The 21153-nt window shown below is 35.9% G+C and overlaps 1 protein-coding gene across 6 annotated transcripts; it reads right to left on the bottom strand.

Moving 5' to 3' along the window:
• Window positions 1-1833: 1833 nt before the first annotated feature.
• Window positions 1834-21153, bottom strand: ASAH2B (N-acylsphingosine amidohydrolase 2B). 6 transcript variants are annotated; one of them, NM_001321960.2, is made up of 7 exons: window positions 21087-21153; window positions 18079-18174; window positions 17348-17416; window positions 15815-15961; window positions 11687-11746; window positions 8533-8621; window positions 1834-6538 (listed from the first exon to the last, which is right to left on the bottom strand). In NM_001321960.2, the coding sequence occupies exons 4-7, from the start codon at window positions 15956-15958 to the stop codon at window positions 6349-6351; spliced, it is 483 nt and encodes a 160-aa protein (NP_001308889.1). In that variant the 5' UTR covers window positions 15959-15961; window positions 17348-17416; window positions 18079-18174; window positions 21087-21153; the 3' UTR covers window positions 1834-6348. The 6 variants fall into 6 exon arrangements, 5 of the variants coding, with proteins under 5 accessions (NP_001308889.1, NP_001308888.1, NP_001072984.1 ...); NM_001321959.2 differs by lacking the exon at window positions 17348-17416; NM_001079516.4 differs by lacking the exon at window positions 17348-17416 and having other exon boundaries at window positions 15815-15887.

Raw genomic sequence — 21153 nt, 5'->3', positions numbered from 1 at the left:
CTGGATTCGGTTTGCTAGTATTTTATTGAGGATTTTTGCATCGATGTTCATCAAGGATATTGGTCAAAAATTCTCCTTTTTTGTTGTGTCTCTGCCAGGCTTTGGTATCAGGATGATGCTGGCCTCATCAAATGAGTTAGGGAGGATTCCCTCTTTTTCTATTTATTGGAATAGTTTCAGAAGGAATAGTACCAGCTCCTCCTTGTACCTCTGGTAGAACTCTGCTGTGAATCCATCTTGTCCTGGACTTTTTTTGGTTGGTAAGCTATTAATTTTTGCCTCAATTTCAGAGCCTGTTATTGGTCTATTCAGGGATTCAACTTCTTCCAGGTTTAGTCTTGGGAGAGTGTATGTGTCCAGGAATTTATCCATTTCTTCTAGATTTTCTAGTTTATTTGCGTAGAGGTGTTTATAGTATTCTCTGATGGTAGTTTGTACTTCTTTGGGATTGGTGGTGATATCCCCTTTATCATTTTTTTATTGCATCTAGTTGATTCTTCTCTCTTTTCTTCTTTATTAGTCTTGCTAGCGATCTATCAATTTTGTTGATCTTTTCAGAAAACCAGCTCCTGGATTCATTGATTTTTTGAAGGGTTTTTTGTGTCTCTATTTCCTTCAGCTCTGCTCTGATCTTATTTATTTCTTGCCTTCTGCTAGCTTTTGAATGTGTTTGCTCTTGCTTCTCTAGTTCTTTTAATTGTGATGTCAGTGTGTCAATTTTAGATCTTTCCTGCTTTCTCTTGTGGGCATTTAGTGCTATAAATTTCAAAACCGCTCAACTACATGGAAACTGAACAACCCGCTCCTGAATGACTACTGGGTACATAACAAAATGAAGGCAGAAATAAAGACATTCTTTGAAACCAATGAGAACAAAGACACAACATACCAGAATCTCTGGGACACATTTAAAGCAGTGTGTAGAGTTCTTTCTTTTCTTTATACAACTTCCTATTTATGTTCCTCGGTTATAAATGAAGTTCCAGTCCCTGTGAGATTTCTTGCATTCGTGGATTATTGACATTAAGAGAAACTGAGAAGAGACAGGCAACAAGTCAGCACAATACAGTCCACAGTGTAGGAAAGCCTTCCAGAGGTTGTATTCTCCTCATGATAGTGGAATCAACTTTATAAAATCACAGATACTAGTTTCTTGAAATTCCACTTAAGGGTGTCTTTCTCCATGTTATCACCACTGTCCCTTGGCCATTTAGGGGATGTGGTTGGACTTTGTCCTAAGCTTGCAATTGCTGGATTATTAAGTTCTTTTGTCCTTTTAGCTTATTTTGGTCTGGAAAAAAAGGGTAAATCTTTTATACTGAATATGAAAAATACAATGAGACAGAGAAAATGATCAAGTCAATGTTTCCAGATACCTGATTTCAGACAGGGATAGTAGATCTTCTATTCTCCTCTAGCTAGTATTGACCCCATACCCCTAGGCTTCTAATTTTTCATTATGGTAAAAAAATCCAGAAATAGGACTAACCGAAGCTGGGTCCCTGATAACTTGGCAGTATGCAGGCCAAGATGCTTTGAATTTTATGAGGGTGGCTCAAATTTTTAGTATTCACAAGTATTTATGAACTCGTAAGGCTGGAACTCTGAACCCTATCTAAAGGGAGAGAATGGTCTTCATTGGCTATACTTGCCATTTTAGCAGGTACAACAAACAAAAAACAAAATAAATCAGATTTGGAAATATGAAATTGACATAAGCAAAAGAAGTCTCTTAATAAATTCAATTCCATGGGTTTGTCTATGGACAGGGTTATAGCCCTGAAGACAGAAGGATGACACTAAGTGGTACTGGAAACTGGGAGTCGAGGTAAGTTTTTGGTTATAGAAAGTGTATTTTATTATTAGAGCAAATGGCAAATACATTCAAGGACATTGATGTCAAGGGGGAAAAATGCTAATACAAGTATAAAACCAAATTGCTATTTATGAAGGTAAAGTTTGGTGCTGCCTCACTGTCAACTCTTTCCTTATACTCTAACTATAGTCTTGATAAAGTACTCAATATTCCCTCTACATGGAATAGTCTATTTGCCCAGTACACAAACACAAACACAAACTAATACACACATACATGCACACACCATTGCCTTCCTTCTAGCTAATTTCTACATATCTTTTAAGTCTTAGCTTATATGTTATTTCTTCCAGGAAACTTACTGAAACATCCCCAAGACCATATTAGGTGCCCTCTCTAATTCCCTGAACAATAACAATATGGGTCACTCTGTACAGTAATTACCTGTTCATCCGTTTGCTTTGTTCGTTAAACTCTAAGTTCCTTTTGGCAGGGAATAGCTTTGCCTTCATTATTGTTTCATTCTTAGGATTTAGCATAATTTCTGCCATAAAGTATATAGGTGCTTGATATAAATCTGTTAAAGGAACGTATACATTTTGCAATACAGAAAGCAATTTTTTTCGTCATTATTCCAATGTGTGTTCTTTTCCAAAATATATTTTCTAGAGTAAAACGAGTTCTAATTATTTCAAAGAGCAGTTAATTTGGATATGCAGATATTATTGCTTGCCCACTGTGGTAACCTTTAGGGCTGCTTGCAAATATCCTGGTTCTGTCACCTGCCCAGTGAAAAATGCACAGTAATGTGGAAGCTTCACGAACTATTGCATGATTCTCCCTGTCCCTTCCCCCTAATCATGGAAGCACCTGTTCCTGTTCCCTCACAATGGAAGAATGTTTAGAATGGAAGTCTCTGTCAGCCTGTGAACTCAAATGAGATGTGGAACAGATCCTTCAGCTAACCCCAATGGACAGGTCATGAGATCAAGAAATAAATCTCTAATGTTGTAGCATAACTAATCTGTCTTGACTAACATAATTTTATGACAGCTACTTCGGCTATCTCTTCTTTCTTACTATCAGAACTTGCCTCACTCTCTAGAAGCACAAAATACTAAATATTCTTTTTTCCAGCTTCCCTTGCAGGTAAGAGTAGCTGTGTGGCACAGTTCTGAACAAAGAAATAGAAGGAAAATTCAACTTGTGTTCTTACTATTTTCCACCTTCTAAAAGGGGATTATAAAGAGAACTCTCTCCTCCCATTTTGCTGCCGCATTCAATTATATGTAGACTTGAGGTAGCGATCTTTTAGCTAAGAGGATAAGCCTAAGAATTAAGTCAATATATTAAGAAGAGCCACTGAGTGGCTGCACCAAACCTGAATTTATCACTTCAAGACTTACTGCTATGTGAGGTTATAAATGTCTTTAGTGTTTGGATGCATGTTGATCAGGAATATTTTCTGAGTTACAGCTGAATGCATACTAACAAATTGCATAAGGAATGTGCAAATTTCCCTCTCCGATACCCTATCACTCTAAAATTTTGGAAGCCAATATAAACCAGCAAGTCAGGTTGGATACCCAGGAAGCAAGAGCATCATTTGGAAGAACTAAACACATGAGAAGTTCATCTAGTGATGAAACCTTTTGGCTAAAGATAGAATCCATGCGCTAATCTTAGAAAAAGACAGTAAGCTTGCTTACATTGGAGGAGAAGCATAAGAGGGCACATTAGAAAAGGACATTCATAAGTAAATTCATTCTTGGTCTTTTTGTTCAGAATTAGCGCAGGAAACAATTTCATAGTTAGCTACCTGCCTAGGAAATTTTTTTGCCCAACTAGTAAAAAAGAGAAAGAAAATAAAAGAAATGCCAACCATACATGTGCTTTACCAGCAGTACATCTTCAGAAGTTAGAAAGGAACTGATAAAGAAGTGGTTCCCTTGTGCTTCAGTGGTTATTTACAAGTCATTTGTATCACTTTCCAACCTAATTTACATGTAATCTACCACCTTTTGTTCCACCTCTTTTTTTAAAAAAGTGTTCGTTTGTCTACATTACCTTTCATTAGACAATACTTTTATGAGTGTAATTCTTAATTTATTATTAAATAATCCATTGAATATTGACAATTTTACACAGTACTCATCAAAAAATCTAGACCCGGCAAAGAGATTATTCAGTGCTTTTCGAAGAAGTCAAAAAATCCTTAAAACCAGAGTAGGCAGGGTACAGCAAATAAAATGCAGACACTTTAACATGAGAAACAAAATCTCCAAAATTGTTCTCCTACCTACCCAATCTGCCATATTCCACTTTTTCCACCAATTTCAGGAGTTTCCGCCACATGGTTTGGCTCCAGTGAGCCAGTCCTTGCAGCATCCACAGACACGAATTGGATCTGTGTTTTTATATCAACAGATAAGTTCAATTACTTCATGATATTCTTTTATGCACAGGTAAAGAACTGATATTGATAATCCAGGAATTTGGTTTTATTTTTACACATGAACTGTGAACATAGAACTGCATGCCCTAGAAGAAATGACAGCTGGTGAGAAAATAGGTTTCTGTGCGTTATCTGGAGCCAAGAGTGCTAGGTGCAGAAGGATCAGTAGATGATACAGTGGCCACCTTGGTACAGTTGCCAGTGAGCTATCAGGAATCACAAGTAGATTTGAGGAAAGCTTCAATAGAAGGAATAGAGGTAGTGGAAACTGATTCATGAACCCTTCTGAGTAATAACAAATACTTTAAAAAACCATATCATGAGTTCTAATATAATTTTCTTGTCTGGAATCAGCTACTTTCAGGATCACTTGTTCTTTTAGGCTTCTGAACTTTTACACTGAAGACTGTGGCGTCATCAGAAAAAAGATCACAACACTTGGAATCCCTGATTACCTAATCCTCCAGCAGTTAAGGCCCAAGGAAACAGCCTCTAGGATACCAATTCATCAAAAAGTGTTCCAGGTTCATTCTAATTCAATAAATTATGTTGAGATTAAGTTATACATAATAGATGTTAATACTACCATTATGAATATTGTTATTATTTTCAAACCTCAAAGTTTATTTTTGAAATACAGATTGATTTTTTTCCCTAAAATGCTAAAGCTTTTACATACATACAAAAGTATGACCTGGGGTTTGGAAATTTGCTTTGCAGTCTGGGAGGTTGTAGTTAACTTAAAGAATTTTAAATGCAATTAGTACTTTCAGACAATCGATGTCAGATTGTCATATCTTATTCTTTGGGGTATGAAGCAAGGTATTTTACAATGCCCAAAAATAACTTTCAAAATAGTATTTAGCAAACTGTCTGGAGCCTCTTTCCCCCCAAATTAGAGTATCCAACACAGATGATACACAAGATATAACTTGAAGATTACTGATTTTTTAAATGCCTCCCCAGAATTTACATATTAAATCGATTATTTTCTCCTTCATAATAGTTACCTTTTGACACTTACACATTCACCCCAAGTACAAATTCACTAATTATCAAGGCCTAGGCACTATTATAATTCTGGGCATATAAATCTTAAATATTCTATGATTGAATGGGTCCATGAGTGAGTGAGTGAGCAAATGGTAAAAGAACAGATAAATTAATTTAGAACCTCTGCTTTGAGGAGTGCTTTCCCAGCCAGTAATATTTTTAATATCTACGCTAATGGCAAAACTTTCTGGTTTGGGGTGAATTTGATTAATGAAAAGAGTCAAAAAATCATTTGGAATAAGTCTTGGGAGTAAGAGACACAATCCAGTGGGATAAGGACACTTAGGAAGACACAAGGCATGATCAAAATATTGGAAGTCTGACTTTCTCATAATTGTGTCCTGAAGGCAATTCCAGAAATGATTTGAGCATCCACAGCGGCTCTGAACTAGGCATGTTAACTCCAGAATGACTGCTTAGAAAGACTATGTTATTTTGAATGAAGGAAAACTGACATGCTGATTTTCTGTTTCTCTAATTAGGCTCATACATTCATGGTCAAGGTTTATATCATATTTTGTAAATGTGATTAGAAGAAAAGACCATTTTTCTTATATGTAAGATGAAGGGTAAGACTAGATGATTTCTATAAATTTTCCCAGTACTAATATTCAGTAATTCTATATATAAATAAATAATTTAAACATTGTTCACATTAGTGAGCCATTCTCACTAATATTTCAGAGGTTTTATATTGAAGGGACTCTCCTTTAAACAACCCCAAGACTTCAAGGGAAATCATGCTTTAGGCTGTAGACCACAAGATATATGGCTGCTGGAACAAGATATATGGGACAAACCTCTCTCTCTCTCTCTCTCTCTCACATACACACACACACACACACACACACACACACACACACACACACACACCCCTCCACCCCATTAGCAGTAAACTATCTGTCCCCAAACAGGGACGATTATAGAAGTCAACATGGTAGTTCACTAGTTCACATTCATTTGAAATCACTTATATAATGTGTAGAGAGTAAAGCTGTTCTTTAAATGATCTATCAACTTTTCACTAAATAGTTACAACTTCAAAAGCCGGGGAAGTGCCTTCAAATGAAAGTATGACAGCAGGCTTCAGAATGTCCTGCTTCCGATTGTGTCCAAAATATCTTATTCTGTAGATTCCAGGCTGGGCAGTGTCTGGAATATGCCATTCCACTGTTGCATTACTCAGACCCAGGAGTCCCTTGTGCCAATAAAAACTGTTGATAAAAAACAAACAAGCAAGCAAAACTCAATTTTACTCTTAAAAATGTTTAATTAGAAAAATACATGATTATTCATTTAATGAATATTCAGAGAATACCTACAATGAGCAAGGCACTATCAAGACATTGAAGATACAGCAATGAACAAAACAGACAAAAACGTCTATTTTCTAGAAGAGAAACTTTAAAGAACAGCAATTTGTAGAAACAGCTTTACTTGTTCTACCTTTCTACCTACCTAAATTATACTCACCCCAGGAAACCTTACCTGATAGCCACAAGATGTCTCTCCTGCTGTAGAATTGCAAAGCACTCTTTTAGCCCTTATCTGACACTTATTTTCACATCTAGATTCATTTGTTTTCTATATATATATATGTGTGTGTGTATACATATATATATGTATATATATATATAGAAAATGAATACATGTCAGACTCTCTTCTAGAAGTACTGAGGGTACAGTAAGGAGCAAGATAGATATGGTCCCAAGTTTCATGAAGCTTATGTTCTACTGAGTTGAAGATGGAAATAAATGCAATAAACAAAAAGCAATAAATATAAAAATCTTAAGAATGACAAGTTTAGTGTAGAAAACAAGATGGAAGTTTTTTAGGGAGATGTCATTTAAACTGAGTCTGCAGAAATCTGGAGGAAAAAACATTCTAACAAGAAGGAACAGAAAATACAAAGTGTCCAAAGCAGGAACAAACTTGATGTGGCCACAAAGCAGAAAGCAGGTCAGTTGGTACAGGGAATGGTAAACCATGGAAGAGTGCTTGAGATGAGAGAAACAGGTGGAACCAGATCATGTTGGCCCCTGCAGATCACAGCAGAGAGTTCAGACACTCTTCTAGACTCAGTGAGATACAATGGGCTAACTGATATCCTCAGTTATGCTGAAAGTAAATCTCTTGGGCACAGAGAGTGTGCTCGACATTCTGTGTTTCTCAGTGATGGGTTCAGTACTCTCAACAAATATTTGATTATTCTGCTGCTAATGAACAAGGCAGAGATCTAAACATATCCTCAGTATTGACTGCTATTAGCTAAAAACTTTGAGCATTTAAATATAAATCATTCTTTTTATTACCTGTATAACCTTTTCAACGATAAATATACATTACTTGTTTTAAAATGTACCTATACTCTACAGCTCTAAATACCAAAGAAAAATTTTGCCCATATTTGTATATGGGCCATGGTCAAATTCCTATTTTCAATTAACCATCTGAACCATACTAACATATTTACATTTAACAAACTAATATCACTTAGTTTGAGGCAATCTGAATTAGACCCAAATTGCCAAAAACTGTACCTACTTCCATGCCACTGTCATGGAATGTTAAATTTATAGACTTGGGAACAGAAGTATTGTCTTATTTCAGACACATTATCAAATCTTCAAAATATCTATTCAGCTCAGGAATTTGGTAGCAAAAGGCAAAGAGATATGTCTCTCTGGAGAAATTGCCTGAATATATTATCTCCTCACTCAAGTCATTAAGAGTTAAACACCCAAGCCTCTAGTGTTTTAGTAACTCAAATGAAGAATCATTGATCATATACAAACATGCAATACATGTCAGGTATAGACTCATTTTCCCTATAGAAATATCAAGCTCTACAGAGACATCTCAACACTTTTACTCTATACTCCTTTCAACCAATTTGCAAGGAAGCCAGTTAGATTTTACAAATAATACCTGTGTCCATGGGGAAAAAAAACAGAACAGATGTCTGTAAGAATGGAAGCCATAACCTCATTAGCACCTAATCTTACAGAAGCACACACCACACTGTTTTGCAGAAAAATGAATCAAAATGAAATCTAATAAATCAACTAAATATGTCCAGAAACCTCCTTGGGAATTTGATATCATTAATACCTTGTACTGAGCCAGTCTTTTCATTTGTCTTCCCAGCATTACAAGCCAACTGGTTTCGAAGCTTGAAAGACAAAAATATTCAATAAATGTGCTCACCGAGTCTCCCAGGAGGCATCATTACACACTATCTGCCACGATGTTGAAGTAGCCTCATATTTCTCCACAGTGAGGAAGGTCTGATGGGTCTGAAATGCAATTAATAAACCTGATCAGGTACTGCACAGTCACAGAAGGAACCTGTTTGTAAATACTCCCCTTGTTGACCATATGTTAGCCTACCAATACCTTGTGTGAAAATGTGTTAGAATTTCATCCAAATTCTTAGGCTTTCCTCTTAACATTCTATGCAATGTACTCAGAATGTTAATTTATCCAGTCTATTAAAAAACATGATTTTTTTAGAAATGTGAAAGAAGTGTAATTTTAGAGTTAGTAGCAAATTTTGGAAATTAGGGCAGAAAAGAGGCTGGGAATAAAACTTACCTGAGATTTTAAAAAGGTATAAGTCAAGCCTTTTCATGATATGTTTATTGATCTATATATCCCAAGACTTTCTCTAGTCACCTCAAAAGTTAGAAGGGAAAATGGTAAAGTTTAGTCTACTTTCCATCTCCAGGTGAATGAATTATTAGTTAACGTACCTCCCTGAGTGAAAGAATTGAAAAGAATACATAAATCTTCCCTATCCTGGGGTACTAAAGGAGGTCTTTAGATTTTTTATAATAGATTTCTAGAAACCACATCATAAAAAGATTTTATTTCCCCATTGGAAGATTATTATAATAGAAGAATTTGTTTCAGACCAAGAATTCAGCTTCAAACAAAGCACAGATTTGAATGATATGACAAGTTAATAAAGACAAAGGCTATACATTTCTAGTATCCTTTTAAATCCTTGAGATTGTGACCCTAAAAGGTACATGTCTAATTCACTTATATTTATCACAGTTCTTTACATCTGTCATTTACTGGTGCTCAAATAACCCCTTGCTAAATGTATCACCTATTTACATGTGGGCCATGTAATTGTTTAAAATTCTTCTTTAAGTATTCAACTGATGAATTACATTCAATAAGGAAGTTTTCATAACCATAGGAACCTGTAAAGAGAGTTATTTCTGTCTATTTATGGCAAATGACATTGGGAAGGCCTTAGATGGAGAAGATATGGTGGGCTTTTTGAATATGTCTAGAGTAGAGACTGAAGAACAAGTCTAGGCCTCTGAATACCAGGGATAAAACATATGACAATCTTTTCCCAACTGCTCTACCGTAATCTCTTCCAGATGCATAATTAGGTAGTGCATACATTAATTATGCATAATATAAGTTACTTTATCTCTCTAGGCCTCAGTTTATTCATCTGGAAAGTAAGGGTAATAAAACTTAACTCATTGGGTAGTCGTAAGGATGGAATTAATCATGTGATAATGCATATAAAGCACTTTAATAGGAATACTTGCAAATACTACCTGCAAAATAGTAAGCATTCCATAAATAGTGATGATAACTACTAATGAAGAAGGGTGATAGAAATTGTTTTATACCAAGTCCCAGAGCATTCTTTGAAATTAATTCTATTACCACTATAGTAGTTTAAAGGTTTTGTTCTCCTGCTTCTCCATGGCAATAATGATGATAGAATTTCTCTACCCTAGGGATATCAGGTGACAGCTAAACATGCAGTTTTGATATAACACTTTGATATCTTCAGAAAATAATGTTATGAACACGTAACTATTGTGGCACAGATTCACTTACTAAAGAAATTACTTCAAACAGGTGCATATTGACTACCTAAGAAGTAGAAGACTTTCCTCCAATGTCATATTTGAGAATGTCATATTGCCACAATTGTTATCTTGGCAATAATGACATTTTAAAAACAGGAATGGGAAGGTTCTTTTGGAAGGAAGGTATTTTTGGATTATAAGTGACTATAGGCCCTGGGAAGAACAGCTAATTGATATAAGGAATGCATCCTCAGCCACAGTGAAAACCATGACCTCGAAATCACAGTCATATGCCCACTCTTTTTCCACTATAAATTCCTTTATTATTTGAGGTTTTACAACTAGAATGTGTCCAGTTACTGCTTGTGTAGTTATAAGTATATTTTAAGGAAGTTATACAAGTATACATTAATTTTATTAATAGATATATTACATATGTATATAGTTTATCATACATATGATAAAAACAAAAAAGTCTAAAATGCTTTATTAAAAAACTCTTAACAGCTATTACCTCTGGAAAGCAGGTTTGTGGGTAGAAGAGCACTTATATATTCTATTTTCTACACTTCTATATTGTTTTAACATTGGGCATGTATTTTGAATGTCATTTTTTAGGTTTAATAAATAAATGCTCTATTAGCACCAGTAGTAAATAATAGGGAAATGGCCAATGCAAGATAAAGTAAAGCACATGCACCAGGACTCCAAGCCAGGAGAGTATACACCTGGGGATCTGTGACCGTTCCACAACAGTACAGGTAGGACCAGAGATAGTAGTGTAGAGGAGGAGGAGAGAGCCAAAAAGAGAAGAAGAAGCCAAAGACACACATCCTTCAGTTGGCCCTTTGACTATTTCACAACATTTGGTAGAGTTCTATATATTTGAATACAGTCATATATCGGATACATCCTGAGAAGTGCATTGTTAGGCAAATTCATCATTGTATGAGCATCACAGACTTAGACTTACACAAACTTAGATGGTGTAACCTCCTACCTAGGCTATATGGTATAGCCCGTGGCTCCTAGGCTACAAATTTGTACAGCCCGTTACTGTATTGAATGTTGTAGGCAATTGTAACACAATGGTAAGTATTTGTGTATCTAAACATACCTAAACGTAGAAAAGGTACAGTAAAAGTAGAGTATTATAATCTCACGGGACCAATGTCATAAATGCAGTTCATCTTTGACTGAAACATCATTGTATGTGGCGCATAATTATATATATGGGATTGTATTCAACTTAACATCTTCTTGACAGACAATGCAGTCATACATGCATTATGCTATACTTGGTCCTAAGTGGAGCCAATTATATGTTTCCTGTGTGCTTTTACCCAGACTCAATCCACATTAACTACCTATTGAATATTTTCCCGTACCTACAAAATAAGATGGAAAACAAGTTGGAACATTTTGTCTTTATGTTATTAACCTCTAGAGGGATATTTAAATGAATGAATGGCTAAAAAGTGGATTTACATTTGTAAAAGAAAATCATTGATACCTACCTGGTTTTGTACTGAATTCTTCGGGTTAGCACCTACAAATATAACTTCAGCAACTTCCCCCTGAAAGTAAAAATTCATTTAATGATTTCTAATAAACGGTTTTTTTGCTATACTCATATTTTGGACATTATTTATTATAAATTCTATAATTTAGGGTGCCTTTATAGATTTTGTTCTATTTAATCAAGTAAGTTATCTTCTAAGAATATTAACCCTTGCAACAATAGACATAGGAATGTTTGGCCAATGAGTTTGCTTTTGGTAGACTCAGATACAAGTGAAGATCTAGAGCTGTAGTTTATATTAGTGACAGCATATTAAAATGGCTTCTTCAGGCCTTGATAATTCCTCACACCTCCCTCCCAACACAAATACAGGGAATATTTGAATCAAATTAGAACAGTCAAAACTTTCCACAGATGACTCATATTTATGCTTACATTTATAGTTAAGCTTTTATTTTTATAAGAGATGGAGTGGCAGGATGTGTATTTATCCTCCCACCTGAAACGACTAAAAAACTGGAAAAAATATATATTAAACAATGGATTTTCAAGTGACAAAGAAAGACAGTGATATTTGAGTGGCAGCAGACAAACAAGAACCCTGTAATCCACCAGCTCAATGTCATCAGTTTACGGGCCACGGCAGAAGGAGAATTCAGGCCAAGTCTGGCAGTCTAAGTTGAGGATATGGAGCTGGGTGTCCACAAAAGCCAAACAGTCTTGAGTTTATAGCACAGAGCATCATAGAGAGGATAGCTGCACAGAGACAGAAATCTGGAGATTTGCAGAAAGCTCCCCTCAAGTTTGCATGCATATAAGGGAACTACTGGAAGCCAGGAAAAGAATGGGCTAACAGAATTACAGAGAACAGTCCCCAGGCTCATAGAGTTGTGACAAGATTCTGTTCCCACCAGGCCAGACTGGAAAACCTCATAATTCAAAAGAATTTTACATTAGTGTGTGAGGGGATGAGGGGTGCTGGGGGAAGTGAGGAAGGGATTTGCTCAAGATGAAAATCTGCTCTGGTCCTGCCTAAAAAATTTAGTAATAGGTAATGCAATAGGTAAAAGCAATAAAACTAAATGCTAGTTCTTTGAGGACACAAATTACCAAAATTAGAAAGAAAGAGGGGATATAATTGTCAACTCTTCAGAAATTAAAAGGATTACAGGGGATTATCATGAGCAACAACAACTTTTATATTACACCAACAAATTAAACAACTTATATGAAATGAGAAAATTCCTAGAATGATACCAATTCCTATAAAGATAAATTCCTAGAAAGACACAAAATTGATGCAAGGAAAAAAATAGGACATATGAATGGGCATATAACAAGTAAAGAAATTGAATTAGTAATAAAAATTTTGCCATAAAGAAAAGCCAGGTCCATATGGCCTTGCTGGTCAATCCAATCAAATATTTAAAGAGTAAATAATGCCAATCTTTTGGATACTTTTTCAGAAAGTACAAGAGAAAACATTTCCCAACTCATTCTTTGAAAGCACTATTGCCCCAATACCAAAGGCAAAGACAACACATAAAAAGAAAACTAAAAATATCCCTCATGGACATGAGTAGAAAACTCCTTACAATATATCAGCAAATCAAATTCAGCAACATCTAAAAAGGATTATACACCATGACTAAATGATACGGCATTTATTTAACATCTGAAAACCAATGAATGCAAATACCTTATTAAAATAACAAAAGACAAAACCACATTGTCACCTCAATAGAAAAAAAATTGCAAAACCCCAACACTGATTTCTGACAAAAACTTGCAATAAGCTAGGCATAAAACATGAAAAAGAGAATCTACAAAAAATCCTAAAGAAAACATCATACTAAATGGTGAAAAACTGAATACTTTTCTACTAAGATTGGAAACAAGACAAGAGTGTCCAGTCTCACAACTTCTATTTGACATTGGATTGGATCTTCAGCAAAAAAAACAAAGATGAAGGTACCACACAACCTGACTTCAAAATATACTACAAAGCTATAGTAATCAACACAGCATGGTACTGGCCTAAAGTAATCAACACACCATTGGTACACATAGACCAATGGAGCCCAGAAATAAGCCCTCACATTTATGATAAATTGATTTTTGACAAAAGTGCCAAGAACACACAATGGGGAAGTGACAGTCTCTTCAATAAATGCTGCTGGGAAAACTGGATATCCACATGCAGAAGAAGGAAATATAAAAATTAACTCAAAATTGATTAAAGATTTAAATATAAAACCTGAAACTATAAAACAACTGAAAGAAAACCTAGAGGAAAAGTTCCATGATGTTGGTGTAGGTGATGTTTGTTTTTTTTTTTTAATATGACCCCTAATGCAAAAGCAACAAAAGCAAAAACAGGCACATATTACATCAAACTAAACAGTTTCTGCACAACCAAAAAAACAATTAACAAAGTGAGGAGACAACCTAAAGAATGGGAGAAAACACTTGCAAACTATGCATCCAATAAAGAGTTAATATCCAAAAGATATAAGGTACTCAAACAACTCTATAGCAAGAAAACAAATAACCCAATTTGAAAATAAGAAAAGGACCTGAATAAACATTTCTCCAAAGAAGACATACAAATGCTCAACAGGGTATTTTTTTAAATGTTCAATATCAGTGATCATCGAAGAAATGCAAATTAAAACTACAACAAGATATCACCTAATACCTGTTAGAATGTATAATATTTAAAAAGACAAAAGACAAGTGTTGATAAGAATGTAGAAAAAGGTAACTCTTGCACACTGTTCATGACAATGTGAATTAGTGCAGCCATTATGAAAAGCAGCAAGAGGTTTCTCAAAAAATTAAAAATAGAACTACTGTAAAATATATACACAATACCATTTCTGGGTATATAGAGAAAGGAAATGAAATCAGTTTGTTGAAGAGATATGTGAACTCCCATGTTTATTGCAGCACTGTTCACAATAGCCAAGATATGAAACAACCTAAGTGTCCATCAATGGATGAATGGATAAAGAAAATGTAGTACATATACACAATGGAATACTATTCAGTCATAAATAAGAATGAGATCCTTACATTTGATACAACATGGATAAACCTGGAGAACATTAGATTCAGTGAAATAAGCCAGGTACAGAAAGATAAATACCACATGATCTCACTTATATATAGAACCTTCAAGAGTTAAACTCATAGAAGTAGAGAGTAGAATGTTGGCAGAAGGTTAGTTACCAGGGGCTAGGAGGTTAGGGGGTTGAAATTTTATATTCTATTGATCAAAGAATATAAAATTTCATTTAGACAAAGGGAATAAGTTCAAGAGGGCTACTGTACAACTTGATGGCTTCAGTTAAAAACAACATATTGTGTTTTAAAAATTGTTAAGAAAGTCTCAAATTTTCTCACAACAAAAAATAATAAGTATGTGACATAATGTATATGTTAATTAGCTCAGTTGAGCCATTCCCCATGTATACATATTTCAAAACATCATCTTGTACACAATAAATATATATAATTTTTATTTATCAATTAGAAAATTAAATAAAAATTTTTAAAAAGCAGAACATTCTATTGAAGATTCTAGCCAGTCCAATAAGGATAAATAATTAGGTGCATTTAGAAAAGAAATATAGAAAGGAATAAATAAGCTTATTTTTATTCACAGATGACATGATACTATATGTAGAAATTCCTAAGGAATCCAGACTCCCCTCTTCTCATCCCTCCTCCCCCCAGAAAAACTGTTGAAACTAATAACTGATTCAGCAAGCTTTCAGGACACAAGATTGATATAAAATAGTAATGGTACAAATTCTGCTTCATTTCTGTATGTTTTTCCTATCCTTGACTTAAGAGACAACTCTCAGTGCCAGTGAATAGTTCCATGATCATTCACTTAAGAAAAGGAATAATTTGGATTTTAGAATTTCAATTTGACACAATTACTTACAAAAAATAAATATTTCCCCATTCTCATTACTTTTGCAGAGATAAGAACAATTGTCAAAATTATCATTGCTAACAGTTGGTCTACAGCATGATTAGAGGCAAATGGTGACACAAAGTGACATCCCCCAAAACATCCCTCTAAAGGATTCCAAGGTCTGCTCATGAGTCTTACCACTCTGTATTCAGGTTTTGCTGGCTGCAGGACATCCCCGAAAGTTCTGCCTTTTGGTGCTCTATCCACAATACTAGGAATTAATGGAACTATTAATTGTTTGAAAAAGGGAGGTTCTGGACCTCTGCTCAGGTTGGCTACCATGTCCTGGAACAGAGAGCATTTGTTAAGGAGTGCACAGGTAGAGTCAAAGACCCTTTCCCCAGGCCTCCAGACCCAGAAATGCCTGCATTAATGGAAGAGTGCACACACACATATACATACTCCAAGAGCTAACAACCTTGAGCAAAATAGGAAGGTAGCCTTGCTAAGCATGAGCCTAGAAATTCATAATTTAAACTCTTGTCACTGGGAGAAAGTTTTGGTCATAGGCAACTCTTTTATTCCCCTAGACAACATAAGGACAGTGACCAGAGTACAAGGTTGGAAGCATACTTTCAAATTGTCTGACCTTGTACAGGGGCCTAACATGCAAAAAGATAATTATACCATGACAGTGTAATTATTATTTTAATTTTTAAAAAGTATTGAGCCACTCTCACCTGGAGTGAGTACCAAGTTTTTTCCTAGATTCTTGTCTGTGCTAATAAAAGAATATAATAAATATATTTTTAATTTAAAATTTAAGATCATCCCACATCCTGACTGGTTTAATCTATATTGCCCACAAAGTTTACCATTTTTAATAGTGTCATAAAAATACAAATCTCAATTTTCAAATATCCCTATATCTATATTAGGTTGGTACAAAAGTAATTGGCATTTTGCCATTAATTTCAATGAATATTTAATGCTCTTTATTCCTCACATTATAGATTTAATCTTTACAACTGCATATGATATGAGATAGGTTATGTATTACCATTCCCATTTTGCAAATGAGAAAATAGGCTTAGACATATTCAGTGGTTTTTTTCAAGATCACATAGCTAGTTTTAAGGTGCTTGACCAGAAATTTGTCTGTAAAACAAATTTCCACCAAATTAATTGCATTTTTCTTCATTGTCACTACAAAATTTGAAGAATCTATTTTCTTGGGAAGAACTATAGACCTATGAGCATAGTGACAGTTAAACAGTAGTTATCTCTAGGGATGGATTATAGGTTTATGCTTTTCTGTATAATCTGAATGACCTACAAATAGATTTGGATTTTATAATAGAAATAAATAAATAAATAAATACAAACAGTTATTCAAAAAAAGTAACCTAAAACTGAGACCAAAATTATGATAAAATGAAAATAAATATCAATTGATTAAAATATGTGCAAAGAAATTATATAAAATACTGAAATTTCAAACACACAATCAGTAATAATACAGGCATATGAAATTTTCAACGTTCGACTGATGCAACCTACAGAGACAACCATTTCATTTATTTCAATTTAATATATCCAAGCTCTTTCATTAAAAGGGCTTTATTTTCTTTGCTATGCCACAATTGTTTCACATTTTTTACTGAGGCTTACATATTATTATATAAGGGGCTGCTTATTATTTTAAGCTCTTTATCTTGTTTGTTGACTAACCTTCTGACATCACAGTTGCAGCTTCATAAACAACTGCATCCAAAGGGAAGATTTCCACAAGTGAAGTTCCTTTAAATCAAGTAAACTTGTTCAGTGGTATATATTTTAGGTAGATGCAATGTTTTTATTCCAAGGCACCACTATTTTTACATCAAATCTAAGCTTCCATTGATTTAACAACTCATATTATCTTTTGAACCACCAAGAAAGTAAAAGCATGCTACTAATTATAATAATAAGCTTCCTCTGATTGGAAAATGCATCCCAATTTCCAAGATATTATAATGTGGAAAATGGGCATCTTAGAATGCTGACCTACTCAACTTTTGGAGTGAGTGGGGAGAATCTGGCAAGGATTAGAAAACACAGGTTCAACTCCCAGGTGTAGTAAGCTTCATCACTTATCTTCAAGCCTATGTGCTCCTCTGAAAACTGGGGAGAAATGATATCTCCCTAATTTCACATGATGGTTGTAAAAATAGTGAGAAAATACATATGAAAGAAGCTGCCAGCATGAAAGGATGTTAACTAGATCCAAAATTGGGAAAGAAATTTTATTTATTTTGTTAGAGATACCACAAAACTATAAATTTTGTAAAATATAAAGGTTGTCAAACTGAACACTCGAAGCTAAGGTTCTCTTTCACTTCCCTCTTACCCAGACACAGACACATACAGACATACACACACACACACACGCACGCACGCACGCACAAACAATATTTGATTACCGTAGCAATAGCCTTAGCAAGGTTTCTGAAGAGCTGAATGTAAGCAGATAATGCGTGCGGTCCATAAATTGTCGATGCTGCCTCATATCGCTGAGCCTGCAGGAAAGGCAGGGAGAGTTGTATATGGTTCTGCATATTTAAATCCATTTACAGAGGTGTAGCATTTTAGGTAAGTGTGATGCTTGACATCTCACATTATTCAAAACTGGCACAATCTTCAAGATTATGTATGACAAAAGAGGATGGGCATTTCCATTTACTGGCCAAGGTAAGTGACTCCTATGGACTACCTGTTAAAAGCAGTGGGTTCTCTCTGCTTATGCCATTTAGACTGTCACTCTATTTACTATGAAAGACGGTGCTAGCTCCTAAGCTTTAGTCTATTATAAGTACTTGTAATATAAGTGCTTTCCCCCAGGGCATATATCAGAAGAAAAATAAAACAAAATAAAGAGTCCTAGTAACTTCTGGATAAATAGTTAGAAGGTGCTAACTGGAGAAAGACATTTAATCCATCACAAAGCCATGAAATTGAGCCAAATGCATCTTTTAGCTGACCTCCAGGCCTTTGGTTCTTCTACAGGAACTTCAAAGTTATCAAATCTAAAACCAACCTCACCACTTCAGACATACCAGCTTCCTCCACAACATTCTCATCTCAGCGAATGTCATCTTTCCAGTCTCCCATGTGAGGATCAGCCGGCAGTTACCTTAGACTCCTCTCTCCCTCATCCTGTATCCTATCAGTCTCCACATCTGGTAATTCTGTCTCCTTCAAATCTCCTGAGATCTTTCATTTTCCTGTCTTACTTTCTCCTAAGGTACAAATAGATTTCACCTTAGTTCAAACCCTCATTTCTCACCCAGATCTCTTTTTTTTTATATTTGTATTAAGTTCAGAGGTACATGTGCAGGTTTGTTATATAGGTAAATCACATGTCATGAGGGTTGGTTATACAGATTATTTCATCATCCAGGTAATAAGCACAGTACCTGATAAGTAGTTTTTTGATCCTCTCCCTCCTCCCAGCCTTCACCCTCAAGTGTGCATGTCCATGTCTTGCCCAGATCTTAATTACACTATGGCTTCTTAATCAGTCCTCTGCCTATACACAAGCCCTTCCAATTCATTTTCTACACTGCCATCTATTGACCTTTCTAAATCACAAAATTTTATCAAAGCATTCTCTTGCTTAGAATCCTACTGCAGTTCCCCCAAAGCCTTCCTTACTGAGTGAAGGCTCAGTAGCATAGCATGCAAGACTATCCATCAGCTAACCTGTGTCTCCCACTCTGGCTACCATCTCCTTACCATCACCCTCCGCATACTTACTCCATGCTACTCAACTAATTGTGGTCCATCAATGTGCCTGCCCTCTGGACCTTTGCATATATCGTTTCTTCTATATAGGATACATTCTTACTTTTTATTTGCTTAACTCTCACTTGTTGTCAAGAACTCATACAGATGTTACATCTTCCTGAACAGTCCCAGTACTCAAATACCCAGTCTGGGCTGGTGCTCTTTCTCTTTATTTTTATAACACCTTGTGCATGCCTTTCATGAAAATGTAATCATCTGTTCTCTTTTCTGTCTTCCTACTAGACCCCCGGCTTCCAGTGATCTTGAGGGAAGGGACAGATTCTTTTCATCATTATGCCCCAGAAAGTGGCTAGCACAGTATCTGTCACAATACATCTGTTGAATGAATGAAGTAATTAATAGCAATACTTGCCGGAGTATATCCCTGTGATATGGACAGGAGACAGGAAAATACTGGGTAGAAGAGAGTGGTTCCCTGGCAAAGGCCCCACCCTTAAGCCTGGAAACCTGTGGCCCTAAACAAATGTTCTTAAAGAAACTGAAAAAATGAATTTTTAATTAATTTCATTCTAACTCTAAACAGTCACATGTCGCTACCATACTGGACAGCTCAGACCTAGGTATCAACTGGACTAATGAAGTGGTTTCCTAACTTAAACTTAAATTGTAATAAAAAATTTAAAACGTTTTTATGAACTTCCAATAGGATCGCAGTATTACTTTTAGTACCTGTCACCTCTGTAAAACTCCTGAATTATAACTCATCTACACACATTTGAAAAACAGCAGTATCTGTATGTGTGAGATATGACTGGTTCTAAATGATGCCTGGAGACCCCATGGACTTACAGAGACCCTTCCAGTGATTTCTGAGGTACCTGGGAATCTGTGGCCAATAAATTGGTAATCACTGAATTAGTGAGTTTTTTAAGAATATCAGGCTGCATAAAATCTGACAGCTTGATTGAAAAAAAGCGGGAAAGGGTGCCATTTCATTCAATTAAGGTCCTGTATTAATTCCGTTTAATAAATGTTTGGTCTATCTATGATGTGCTAGCCACTGTGCCAGTGAATGGATATAGCTATGATCTGACTTGCAGAGGAAATCCAAACTAGTACCTTCCGTGCAATAAGGGATACACTGCAAGGCTGCACAGGGTGCTACTGGAGCACAGAAGTGAGTCAGAGGCTTCCCACAGACACACAACACGAGCGGAAACAGAAAGTCTTTATATATCACCATAACGTCAAGGAACACCGGCTGGGAGTTAGGAGAGCTGGGCACTAGGAACGCTTTGAAACTGAATAGCTGTGGGATTTCCGAGGTTATGTTGCTTCTCTACTATATTTTAGTTCCGAAGCTGTACTAATGTTTCTCTTTCTTTTGCTCTTGGTGGGAAAAGCACAATTTGGGGTCAACAGATTCGGCTCAGGTCCGAGTCGCCTGCTGGGACCACGTCGCCAGGAAACGACGTCTCCCGGACACCTTCCCTCCCCGTCAGGCTCTCTGCAGGGATTCACCCCGTTCCCTCTCCCAACGACTCCCGGGCACGCCTCCGTTAAAGGTGAAATATGCTGCTCCTGGGGAGCAAAGATAACCCGGAGGACCAGGGAAGGACCTTCCCACGCGCACGACTCGCGATCTTCCCAGTGCCCCAGAGCCAGGGACCCCACTGCCGCCTACCCCAGCCGCAGCACCGAACCTGTTCACAATTGCGACTCCTCAGGTCCGCTTCCACACCGCCGGAAAC

This window comes from Homo sapiens, chromosome 10 (genome assembly GCF_000001405.40).
Source record: "Homo sapiens chromosome 10, GRCh38.p14 Primary Assembly".
In the NCBI taxonomy this organism is placed as follows: Eukaryota; Metazoa; Chordata; class Mammalia; order Primates; family Hominidae; genus Homo; species Homo sapiens.
Note: the sequence above shows the minus strand (reverse complement) of the source record. Positions and strands in the feature narration are given on the sequence as shown.